This window comes from Homo sapiens, chromosome 6 (genome assembly GCF_000001405.40).
Source record: "Homo sapiens chromosome 6, GRCh38.p14 Primary Assembly".
In the NCBI taxonomy this organism is placed as follows: domain Eukaryota; kingdom Metazoa; phylum Chordata; class Mammalia; order Primates; family Hominidae; genus Homo; species Homo sapiens.
The window spans coordinates 47556339-47569192 of NC_000006.12; the positions used below are offsets into that span (position 1 = coordinate 47556339).

At 36.4% G+C, this 12854-nt stretch overlaps 1 protein-coding gene and 1 pseudogene across 4 annotated transcripts in view; both read left to right on the forward strand.

Annotated features, from left to right (window-relative positions):
* Nucleotides 1–12854, forward strand: part of CD2AP (CD2 associated protein) — a 149475-nt gene that overhangs the window by 78550 nt on the left and 58071 nt on the right. The gene's annotated exons all lie outside the window — the stretch shown is intronic.
* On the forward strand, nucleotides 6197–6705 carry RPS12P14 (ribosomal protein S12 pseudogene 14; annotated as a pseudogene).

Genomic DNA, 12854 nt, shown 5'->3' on the forward strand with positions numbered 1-12854 from the left:
ATGATGGTTTCCAGCTTCATTCATGACCCTCCAAAGGACATGAACTCATTCTTTTTTTTTTTAATTTTGTTTTTTGAGACAAAGTTTAACTCTTGTTGCCCAGACTAGGAGCGATTCTCCTGCCTCAGCCTCCCAAGCAGTTGGGATTACAGGCATGTGCCACCACGCCCAGCTAATTTTTTGTATTTTTAGTAGAGATGGGGTTTCTCCATGTTGGTCAAGCTGGTCTTGAACCCCCGACCTCAGGTGATCCACACGCCTCGGCCTCCCAAAGTGCTGAGATTACAGGCGGGAGCCACTGTGCCCAGCTGAACTCATTCTTTTTTATGGCTGCATAGTATTCCATGGTGTATATGTGCCACATTTTCTTTATCCAATCTAACATCGATTGGCATTTGGGTGGGTTCCAAGTCTTTGCTGTTGTTAAATAGTGCTGCATTAAACATATGTGTGTGTGTGTCTTTATAGTAGAATTATTTATAATCCTTTGGGTGTATACCCAGTAATAGGATTGCTGGGTCAAATGGTATTTCTAGTTCTAGATCCTTGAGGAATTGCCACATTGTCTTCCACAATGGTTGAACTAATTTACACTCCCGTGAACAGTGTACAGGTGTTCCCATTTCTCCACATCCTCTCCAGCATCTGTTGTTTCCTGACTTTTTAATGATCGCCATTCTAACTGGCATGAGATGGTAGCTCATCGTGATTTTGATTTGCATTTCTCTGATGGCCAGTGATGGTGAGCTTTTTTTCATAGGTTTGTTGGCCGCATAAATGTCGTCTTTTGAAAAGTGTCTGTTCATAGCCTTTGCCCACCTTTTGATGGAGTTTTTTTTTTTTTTCTTGTAAATATGTTTAAGTTCTTTGTAGATTCTGGATATTAGCTCTTTGTCAGATGGATAGATTGCAAAAATTTTCTCCCATTCTGTAGGTTGCCTGTTCACTCTGATGATAGTTTCTTTTGCTGTGCCGAAGCTCTTTAGTTTAATTAGATCCCATTTGTCAATTTTGGCTTTTGTTGCCATTGCTTTTGGTGTTTTAGTCATGAAGTCTTTGCCCATGCCTATGTCCTGAATGGTATTGACTAGGTTTTCTTCTAGGGTTTTTATGGTTTTAGGTCTTACGTTTAAATCTGTAATCCATCTTGAGTTAATTTTTGTATAAGGTATAAGGAAGGGGTCCAGTTTCAGTTTTCTGTATACAGCTAGCCAGTTTTTCCAACAACATTTATTAAATAGGGAATCCTTTCCCCATTGCTGGTTTTTGTCAGGTTTGTCAAAGATCAGGTGGTTGTAGATGTGTGGTGTTATTTCTGAGGCCTCTGTTCTGTTCCATTGGTCTATATATCTTTTTTGGTACCAGACCATGCTGTTTTGGTTACTGTAGCCTTGTAGTATAGTTTGAAGTCAGGTAGCATGATGCCTCCAGCTTTGTTCTTTTTGCTTAGGATTGTCTTGGCAATGTGGGCTCTTTTTTGGTTCCATATGAAACATAAAGTAGTTTTTTTCTAATTCTGTGAAGAAAGTCAGTGGTAGCTTGATGGGAATAGCATCAAATCTATAAATTACTTTGGGCAGTATGGCCATTTTCATGATATTGATTATTCCTATCCATTAGCATGGAATGTTTTTCCATTTGTTTGGGTCCTCTCTTATTTCCTTGAGCAGTGGTTTGTAGTTCTCCTTGAAGAGGTCCTTCACATCCCTTGTAAGTTGGATTCCTAGGTATTTTATTCCTTTTGTAGCCATTGTGAATGGGAGTTTGCTCATGATTTGGCCCTCTGTTTGTCTTTTATTGGTGTATAGGAATGCTTGTGATTTTTGCTCATTGATTTTGTATCCTGAGACTTTGCTGAAGTTGCTTATCAGCTTAAGGAGATTTTGGGCTGAGATGATGGTGTTTTCTAAATATACAATCATGTCATCTGCAAACAGAGATAATTTTACTTCCTCTCTTCCTAGCTGAATGCCCTTTCTTTCTCTTGCCTGATTGCCCTGGCCAGAACTTCCAATACCATGTTGAATAGGAGTGATGAGAGAGGACATCCTTGTCTTGTGCCGGTTTTCACAGGGAATGCTTCCAACTTTTGCCCATTCAGTATGATAATGGCTATGACTTTGTCATAAATAGCTCTTATTATATTGAGATATGTTCCATCAATACCTAGTTTGTTGAGTTTTTTAGCATGAAGCAGTGTTGAATTTTATCGAAGGCCTTTTCTGCATCTATTGAGATAATTATGCAGTTTTTGTCATTGATTCTGTTTATGTGATGGATTATGTTTATTGATTTGCATATGTTGAACCAGCCTTGCATCCCAGGGATGAAGCTGACTTGATTGTGGTGGATAAGCTTTTTAATGTGCTGCTGGATTTGGTTTGCCAGTATTTTATTGAGGATTTTCGCATTGATGTTCATCAGGGATATTGGCCTGAAATTTTCTTTTTTTTGTTGTGTCCGTGCCAAGTTTTGGTATCAGGATGATGCTGGCATCATAAAATGAGTTACGGAGGAGTCCTTTTTTTGTTGTTGTTTGGAATAGTTTCAGAAGGAATGGTACCAGCTCCTCTTTGTACCTCTGGTAGAGTTCGGCTATGAATCCATCTAGAGCTGAGCTTTTTTTTGGTTGGTAGGCTATTAATTACTGCCTCAATTTCAAAACTTGTTATTGGTCTATTCAGGGATTTGGCTTCTTCCTGTTTTAGTCTTGGGAAGGTTTATGTGTCCAGGAATTTATCCATTTCTTCTATATTTTCTAGTTTATTTGCGTAGAGGTGTTTATAGTATTCTCTGATGGTAGTTTGTGTTTCTGTGGGATCAGTGGTGATCTCCCCTTTATCATTTTTTATCCATGTCTATTTGATTCTTCTCTCTTTTCTTTATTAGTCTGGCTAACGGTCTCTCTGTTTCGTGCAATTTTTTTTTTTTTTTTTTAACAGGCAGGGTTTCACTTTGTTGCCGAGCCTGGTGTGCAGTAGCATGATCATAGCTCACTACAGCTTAACCTCCTGAGCTCAAGTGATCCTTCTGCCTCAGCCTGCCAAGTAGCTGGGACTGTAGGTATGCATCATGATGCACAGCTAATTAAAAACATTTTTTTTTAAGAGATGGGGCCTCACTATGTTGACCAGACAGGTTTTGGACTCTTGGCTTCAAGCAGTTGAAGCCTCCCAAAGTGCTGGGATTACAGATGTGAGCCACCACATCTGGCCAAGAAAATTAATTTTAGAGAAAAAAGTCAGATAATATTTTAAAATTTAATAGATGATTCTATTAAACATAATTGATAAAAGATTTCTAGAAATCATTAAGATTATTACTAAAGTTAATGTGCTCTGTTTCTCATTCCACCATTTTAGACTTTATTAAGCTCCTTGACACTTTTGTCTTCATCCATAATTATGGTTTGTTTGTACATGAATGATTCATGCAGCTTTTTCCCACCTAATTCTTGTATGGAGCCTGCAGAAGAGTCAGGCTTTTGCTGTGGTAGAAAAGAGCATGAAGCAATAGAGCAAGTTCATAAAAATCTAGATATAGAGCTAGAAAGTCCTAGTACAACCCCTTCATTTTATAGTAGAGAAACCTAAGTCATGATTTACATATTATTTTATATATTTATTTTTGTTAGAACCAGGACTTCTAAGAATTTGGGCTTTTGGATCCCATTCCTCTATACATTTCCATACTATTATATTACTCATCTCTGGGTCCATCCTTCTAACTCCAGTACAGTGATTTATTTTGAAACTTTTTTTTAACTTGGAGAAAAATTATAAAAATAAAACAAAGACCTCTCTTAGATCCTTTACCCTGATTTACGAATTTTTAACATTTCACCCCATTTGCTAACTTATCATTCACCTTCTATCTAGATATCTGTATTTTATCTTTATTCTTTAGTATTTCAATGTGTATTTCCCAAGAATAAAGTTAGTCTCTTATGTAACTACAGTACAGTTATCAAAATCAAGACATTTAATATTGATAATATTGTTTATTCTGTAATCTCCATACACCTTTTTTTTATTATTCCAGCATGTTCTTTATAGCTGTTTTTTTCCTCCCAGTCCTGAAAAGGATTATACATGGAATTTATTTCCAGTGTTTCTTAAATCTGTAATAGTCTTCTAGCCTTTTTCTGTTTTTTGTTTTCTTGACATTGACATTTTTGAAGAGTTTAGGCTGATTATTTTGTGGAATGGCCCCATTTGTTTGTTTGTTTGTCTTTTTCCCCCGATTCCTCATGATTAGATTCAGATTATATTTTATTGGCAGGACTATGGAGTGACGATGTCTTATGTAATATTTGGAGGCACATGGTGTCCATGTCTTTTTTTATTGGGGATGTTAAATTTGATTAAAATTTAATCATAAATTTAGTTACAGCTGTGCTGCCACTGTACTTTTACTGTTTTTCTTCTTACAATAAGTGTTTCATGGAGAGATACTTTGAGACTATGTAAATATGCTATTCCTCATCAGACTTTCACTCAACAGTTTTAGCATCATGGATAAATTTTACTCAAATAGTTGTTACTATGATGGTTACCAAAAATGGTGATTTTCTAATACCATCATCCCTTCTATGTGTATTACTTAATATTTTACTCTAAAGACAAACTTTTGTCTTTCTCCGGTTTATGTATTTATCAGTGTGGGCTCATCAGAGGGTTCTGTTTTATTCATCAGGTATCAGTCTATTACCAGTATTATTTATTTTGATAACTGTATGATTTTGCTAGTGAGAGTTCCTTCAAGGTAACTTCTGTGACTTTTTAAAAAAGTCAACTTTATTGGAGGTACAATTTACATACAGTAATTGTGTCCCTTTAAAATATACAATCTGATGAGTTTGACAGATGTATAAATCCATGAAAACATGTACAGAACATTTCCATCACCCCCAAAATATTGCTCATGCTTTTTGCAGTCCATTTCTTTTTCTGCCCTTAGTCCTAGGCAATCATAGATCTGGTTTGTCATTATGGATTAGTTTGCAGTATTATGTCATTTTGACATGTCTCCATTATTTTCTGTGAACTTCCTTACTCTGTGATATAAGATATTCCAAGCTCATTTTGAACCTTCCCTACCCTAGTCTTGGAATCAGCTACCTATCAAGGCAAACTTTTTTTTTTTTTAAGAGAGGAATAGTGTTTGGGCATCAAGATCTGGGTAGAGGTGTGGTCATTGCTACTGGGGTAATGCTTCTGAGCCTGCTTAGTGGATTAAGCTGGGAAATGCTTACATGCACATACAATCCCATACCTCTACCCATATGTCTTGATCATTCATCTATTTATCCATCTTTACTAGTACCTCTAATTCCAATTTAATACCAGAAGGTATATTTTCATCTCTAATGATTTTATTTCTAAGCCCATTGACCATAGAAATGTGTGAAATGAGTAATTGAGTTTGCTTTACATTTATTTATTTATTTATGTATTTATTGAGACGGAGTCTCGCTCTGTCACACAGGCTGGAGTGCAGTGGCGCGATCTTGGCTCACTGCAACCTCCGCCTCCCGGGTTCACGTCATTCTCCTGCGTCAACCTCCCAAGTAGGCGCCCACCACCACACCCAGCTAATTTTTTTGTATTTTTAGTAGTTACAGGGTTTCACCGTGTTAGCCAAGATGGTCTCAATGACCTCGTGATCCGCCCACCTCGGCCTCTTAAAGTACTGGGATTACAGGCGTGAGCCACTGCACCCGGCTGAGTTTGCTTTACTTTTAAGGAAATTTAATTTTTCTTCCAAGTTTTAGTTATCTAAACATCGCAAGCTACAATTGTGTTGCCTTGTTCGTTTGCTTTTTAGTATAAAAGCCATCTAATATTAGGCTTGAAAGGATGAATGCTTAGAAAGCAATATTATAATTCGTGGTTTATCAATAAACTATGAGTATAGAAAAACCAACATGAATTTAGTGTCTAAAAGATTGATGTAAAAGACACCTCTTGGAATTTTAGAAAGTGACAGGAAAAAATGTTACTTTACATAGTCATAAAATACCAGTAATTGTTCTACAAAGTAGACAGTATATATCAGATCTAATGATGAGAGCTAGGAATAATGAGATTGTGAGGAAAAATTGCTGGTATAATACCAGACTTTTGGGTCAGAGTTTTCAGTTAATTATAGTAATAATTTTTAAGTTATAAAGTGAAGACATAAATTAGTTTGATGGCTCTTTGCCTTCCACCAACAAGTCTTGCATAAGCAAAAGCTTGGATGTGTTGAAGATTTGGCTTCACCTGAACCCACTGCTGTGGTAGAAGAGGGTATTGTTGCTGGAGATGTAATGGATGTTAATACTGCCACTGCTTTATGGGAGGTTCAGAAGACCACCCTCATCCACAGTAGCCTAGCAGTGAAATTTGTGAAGCTGGCCAAGCCTTAGACAAGTGGCAAGCTCATGTTTGTGTGCTTGCATCCAACTGTGATGAGCCTTTGTATGTCAAGTTGGTGGAGGCCCTTGGTGCTGAACACCAAATCAACCTAATGAAGGTTGATGACAACAAGCAACTGTAGGGGAATGGGTAGGCCTCTGTAAAATTGACAGAGAGAGAAAACCCTATAAAGAAATTGGTTGTGGTTGGGTAGTAGTTAAGGACTATGGCAAAGAATCTTACGCCCAGTATGTCATCGAAGAGTCCTTCAAATGCAAGAAATGAACAAATAAAACTTTGTATCACATTTAAAAATTTAGTTTGAGGAATAGTTTGAACTCTGCTATAATTTTTAGAATAAACGTGACCAAAGGAAGAAGTGGAAGCTATTTTAACAAGTGAACATTTCTTAACCCTTGTTCTGATTTTCAGTTCTGATTTTCTGAGCGTATGTAATCCCTATGTAGTCCAGAGGTGCAAGTATCACATCTCTAGGGGGAAGACAAATGTGAAGTAAGTATGCTAATAGTATAAAATGACTTGCGTTACTTTAGGTAGGTATAGAAAATGTTGGAGGAAGATATTTCTAAATGTAATACTTTGTTTGCCACTACATTTTGCTTAATATGCAAATTTTCATCTCAGAAATGTCACAGGAAACATTAGAAAATATAATCTGCAACTTTCTAATTCTTGAAGAGGCAGGGAAAAAGAAGGATGGCTTTTAAAGCTTCTGTCCAAAATTGACATGTCATTTCCACTAACATTGTATTTGGTGGTTATGGTCATGCATGCGTAAGTGCAGCAGGGTGGGGATATGTAATTTTCTTACAAGGAGGGGCACCAAACATTTGTGTACAGTATTATGCTCTACCATATATTCGTTGTGGATTACCTTTAAAGAATCCCTTTCTTTAAAGCTCATTAGCCTTTCAAAGGAGTTAATTTACTCTTACATTAGTTTTTAGCTCTCTGTAAGTGCTACATACTATACGTGCTACAAAGTAATGAAAAAAGCGTGAGCTCCCTGGCTGTTTAATGTGACTTGGGATGCCCAGTTGCCTCTCATTTTTAAGTGTTCTTCCACTATTTCTTTTCTCTTTAACTTAGCAATAAACTTGTAAAAATTCTAAATTTTTCTAAGGCTCTTTAATGAATTAAACAAAAATATTAACAAAAATAGTTCTAGTTGTTTAATTTAGTTTCAATTGTTTTAATAGTTTCAGTTTTCTTTAATGGAGATGCTGATTGTATTGAAAGATAGAAAAATCATTGAGGTAGGAATCAGTGGAGAAGGAATCATACCAACTAGATGTACTTTCACTATTTTATGTTACATTTATTTGAGAGTACTCGATAACAATTCTGAAGTCAGAACTGATGTTTAAGGGTGTGTAAAAACCATTAGAGAACATACATAAGTACCAAAAACACGTGGCTTAAATTTAATGGGGCATTCATCTCTTAGCAAACTGTCTCCTGAGTTACTTTTGATGCACATTAGTATTTCTTAGGGTTCACAGGTATTGGATCATTTGATACCTACTTTTAACATTAAAATTTGGTGTAAATTAAAGCATATGAGTGAAATGATCTTTGTGATGCCATATAAAACTGAGCCTTTAAAATATTTACAACTTAAAGTTTGTATGGGACCACCAGCACAAGAGATCTAATTTATATTTGAATTTAGTTCATTACTTTTATAATTATAAAATACTTTGCACATTTTCTTATGCTATTCAGCTTGATTTGGATTTTAGTAACTGCGCAGAATTTTATCTGTTAGAAATACCCTTCCTTCTTTGTTTAACCCTTTTACAATAACTGTTCATTCTAAATGTGGAGCTTTGTGATTATGGGGTGGAAAGTCAGTGGTTGAAGTACACTATAATTTTTTTTTCTTTCCCCAACTCTAAATTTTAGGCAAGTTTCTGCATATTGTTGTGAATGCCAGGAAGTGAGCATTATATAAGGAGTAACTACTTAAAATTTTCCTGTGTCCTAACAAAGTGTAACAGCCTCTGTCCATAATTGGTGTTTTGACAATCTTTTCAGTCAGTAAAATAATTATGTTCCTCGTAGCTGTTAGAAAAATTATAGTAGAATGTACATTATATAAGTGTTTTCTTTTTTGCTTTCATTATTGGAATGTCATATCCACTATATTTGATTATATCATATAGTTTCTCCTCACAGTCTTTTAAATTTAATAGTGTTCTCCTCCTCCTCCCTTTCCCTTTTTCCTCCATCCTCTCTTATGTAGTAATGGGATTATGTTCTTGGTTTGACCAGTTAAACTCTATTACTTGCTAAGTAGATAATTCTGACTCTTAATAATATATGGACAATGTTGAGTCTTCACAGATAATTTATTTTTAGATCCTCAGTTTTCATTGAAGAACTGTAGGATAAAAGTTTTAAGAATGCCACCATTATGTTTTCTGTAGGAATGTGGTGAATTAATCATCTATTCTGTTACTGAGTGGTTTCTATATAAAAGTCCAAGATAAATTTCTTTTAGTATTCAGTCTCAGGGAAAGCATTGCTTTGCTAGGAAAGTGTTATGTTTCGGTTTTGTAATGTCTCCTTTTTAATTTTGTCAAATATACTTAACCCTTCTTATTTAGAGGGTCTTTTTGTTAACATGCAGATTCCACTTATTTGCTAAATAGGAATGTGTTTTCAAATTTTCCCCTTATTTTATGAAACCAGTGACTGTATATACTTGTCTTTTCCACCCTTTTCTAAAAGTCTTCCACATTAAACCTCTTTAAGAATCTCCATTTAGATGTCTAATAGGCATCTTAAACCTAAGATGCCCAAAATTGATCCTCTGCCTTTTTTTCCTGCTCCATGTAATCTTCCCCATCTGAGTTAAGGAGAAATTCATCCTTCTTTTACTCAGGCCAAAATTCTTAGATTTCTCTTGTACTCTTCTTTTTAACCTCGCACCCTACCATGATTCATTAACAGATTTTGTCAAAAAATGTTTAGAATCTATTTTCTTTTTACCACCTTCACTGCCGCTATCCTGGTATAAGTTATCTTTTGCTGTATAATTACCATAGCCTATATGCCATTACCTACTTACTGAATAGTCTGGTAGCCAGTAGTGATCACCCTCCAGTAGCTTTGCATTTCACTTAGACTAAAAGCCAAAATCTTTTAAAATGGCTACAAATCCCTCTATGATCTGGCATCCCCATATCCCTCCCTCCACCTTTCTTACCTCATCTCTTATTTAACTTTCCCCTTTGTTCACATTGGTCACCTTAGGTTTCTTAAGGATGTTAGGAACATTCCTCTCTCACAGCCTTTGTGCTTGTTGTATACCTTTGTCTGGAATCCTCTTCTTCAAGATGTCCTGATGGCTACTTGTCTGATTCAGGATTCTCTCAGAAATCACCTTATCAGTGAGGCCCTTACTGACAGCTCTGTGTAAAACAGCAGAAAGTCCCCATTATCCACTTTTTAATTCTCTTCTCTTTTTTTTTTAACGTTTCAAAGAAGAATTTGTTGCTATTGCTTATTAAGCTTATTGTCTGTCTACCTGCTCATTAGAATATATATATATATATATATATACACATACACATATATATATATGTATGTATGTATTTGTTTACTCATTGTCTAGAATGGTCTCTGATATGTTGATGCTCAGTGAAACAGTGAATAGTTTTTTGTGGTATATGTAGAACTTTTCAAACACTTTTGTCAAGTGAAATCCTCTTGAGTTTTTGTTGTTGTTGTTGTTTTGGTTTTTGCTTTAAGTTCTGGGATACATATGCAGAACATGCAGGTTTGTTACATAGGTATAAGTGTGCCATGGTGGTTCCTGCACCTATCGACCCATCCTCTCAATTCTCCCTTCCCCCGCTCCTCACCCCTCAACAGGTCCTGGTGTGTGTTTCCCTACCTGTGTCCATGTATTCTCATTGTTCAACTCCCACTAATGAGTGAGAACATGCAGTGTTTGGTTTTCTGTTCCTGTGTTAGTTTGCTGAGGATGATGGCTTCCAGCGTCATCCATGTCCCTGCAGAGGATATGATCTCATTCCTTTTTATGGCTGCATAGTATTCCATAGTGTATATGTACCACATTTTCTTTATCCAGTCTATCATTGATGGGCATTTAGGTTGGTTCCATGACTGCGATATTGTAAATAGTGCTGTAAATATTGTAAACATATGCATGCATGTGTCTTTATAGTAGAATAAATCCTCTTAGCTTTTAAGAAGATTAATGTCACTCCCATTTTAAGGGTCAAGAAGTGGAAACTCCTGAGATTATTTAACTACTGAGTGGTAAAATCATTAGAGTTTTGTTTTTCTGATTTCCCAGTTTTTTTTTTTTTAACTTTACTATGCTGTTTAACATATGGGGTATGGAAATTTGGTGGTTTTTCACTATTGTAGTCCATTTGTTTGCTGCTATCTTCATCTAATTTTCTTTTAGGTATGCTTATAGAACTATCTTTTCATGTACGTTCAGCTCTTTGAGGGTTGTGAGTAGTAATATGTGCGTATACTAGCATTTCTCATGAAGGCAGGGTATTCCAAAATCTGAAATTTAAAAGTCAAAGCCGGCAAAGGGAAATTCTAGATATAAATACAATTGTTTAGTTAATTCAGCATTCATATATTTATTCATTCAATATATTGAGTGCCTTTTGTTAATGTATTGTACAAAGTCCTGGGAATACAGTGATCAGCAACATAGGCATGATTTACCCCCCTTGTTTGAAGCTTTTTTTTCCATTGGGAAAGAAAAGATGATTTAAAAAAGTGATTGTAATTTAGCAGGAGAAATATTTGTTACAGGAAAGGGTGCAATAAATGTATATAAGTGGGCTAATCCAGACTTGGCAAGCTGTGAAGGAATGTGCCCTAGAAGAAGTCATAGATTGAGATCCCAAAATGGCTAGGAAATTTCTAAGCAAGTTTGTGGCAGAGGGTGAGGAAAAGCATAGCACTGCAAGATCCTGAAAGAGATTTAATTCAGAGGCATTATAGAGTATATAATTAGATGTGAATGTTGAGCCTGGAGAAATTATTGGGTCAGACATAAGAAAACATTACAAAAGTGTTAATCAAATCACAGAGAAGCCATAGAGCAAAATCATGAGATTGTTTTTCAGATAAATTGGTGGCAGTATGGAGAGTGAATTGCAATGTGGGGAGTAGATTGGAGAAGAGACTGAGCTGCTGACGCCAGTTGAGAATGTTTTGATAATGAGGTAGAATTAGCCTAAACTAGAGGAGTGCTATGGGGATGGAGAGACACGTGTAGAATAGGATCTATATAAGTGATAGCACAAAGAACAGGACCTAGTGATAATGTTATTTGGGGGATGACCGAAAAAGAGGAGCCAACTGCTACCAGGTTTTTGGCTTTGTAAGATGGAGATGTCATTTGCAGAGATAGGATATTGGGAGATGATGATGTATCGTTAAAATAGATGCCTAGATATTGAAAATAGGCAGTACTAATTGGTAGGTTAATTATTTTTGGATCATTGAAAATTACCAACTTTTACTACCATGTTGGCTATTCACTTTTGGAGATATTAAATTTGAGGCTTGTAGGGATGTGAGAGCATCCAAATGAAGATATTTGGTAGTCAGTTGTCTATGGGTCTGAATCCTTAGAAAAATTCGGATGTCTGTGCAAAACTGGGGCTTGATAGTACTTTAGGTGGTATAAGAAACGATGAGTAGGCTGGGCGCGGTGGCTTATGCCTGTAATCCCAGCCCTTTGGGAGGCTGAGGTGGGTGGATCACAAGGTCAGGAGTTCGAGACCAGCCTGGCCCACAAGTTGAAACCCCGTCTCTACTAAAAAATACAAAAAAAATTAGCTGGGCATGGTGGTGTGCACCTGTAATCGCAGCTACTTGGGAGGCTGAGGCAGGAGATTCGCTTGAACCTGGGAGGCGGAGGTTGCAGGGAGCTGAGATTGTGCCATTGCACTCCAGCCTGGGTGACAGAGTGAGACTCCGTCTCAAATAAATAAATAAATAAGGAAACGATGGATTTAGATTAGATGACCTAGGGAGAATATACAGAGTGAAGAAAAAAACTAAAGACCCTGGGATGGAATCCTGTGTAGTGACATTTAAGGAATGGACTGAGGAAGATTAACTGAAAAGAAGACCAAGAAAGCACAGAAGGAGAGAGCCAGAAAGAAACCTATGAGAGTGTGGTAGTCAGTCAAGGGAGGAGAGTTATTCAGGGAGGCAGGGCAATAGTGTCAGATATTACTTGGGAGGTTAAGTAAAAGAGATCATTAAGGACCTAGACAAGAGCAGTTTTGAGGTGATTAGGGCAGAAGCCAAATTAAAGAAGAAAGGAGGTTAGGCAGTGTAGAGAGTAAGTATAAGGCAGTTGCAGCATTTGATGACAACATATATTCAAGATTTGTTTTGTTCTTTTTCTTAAAAAGGAAAAGTGTT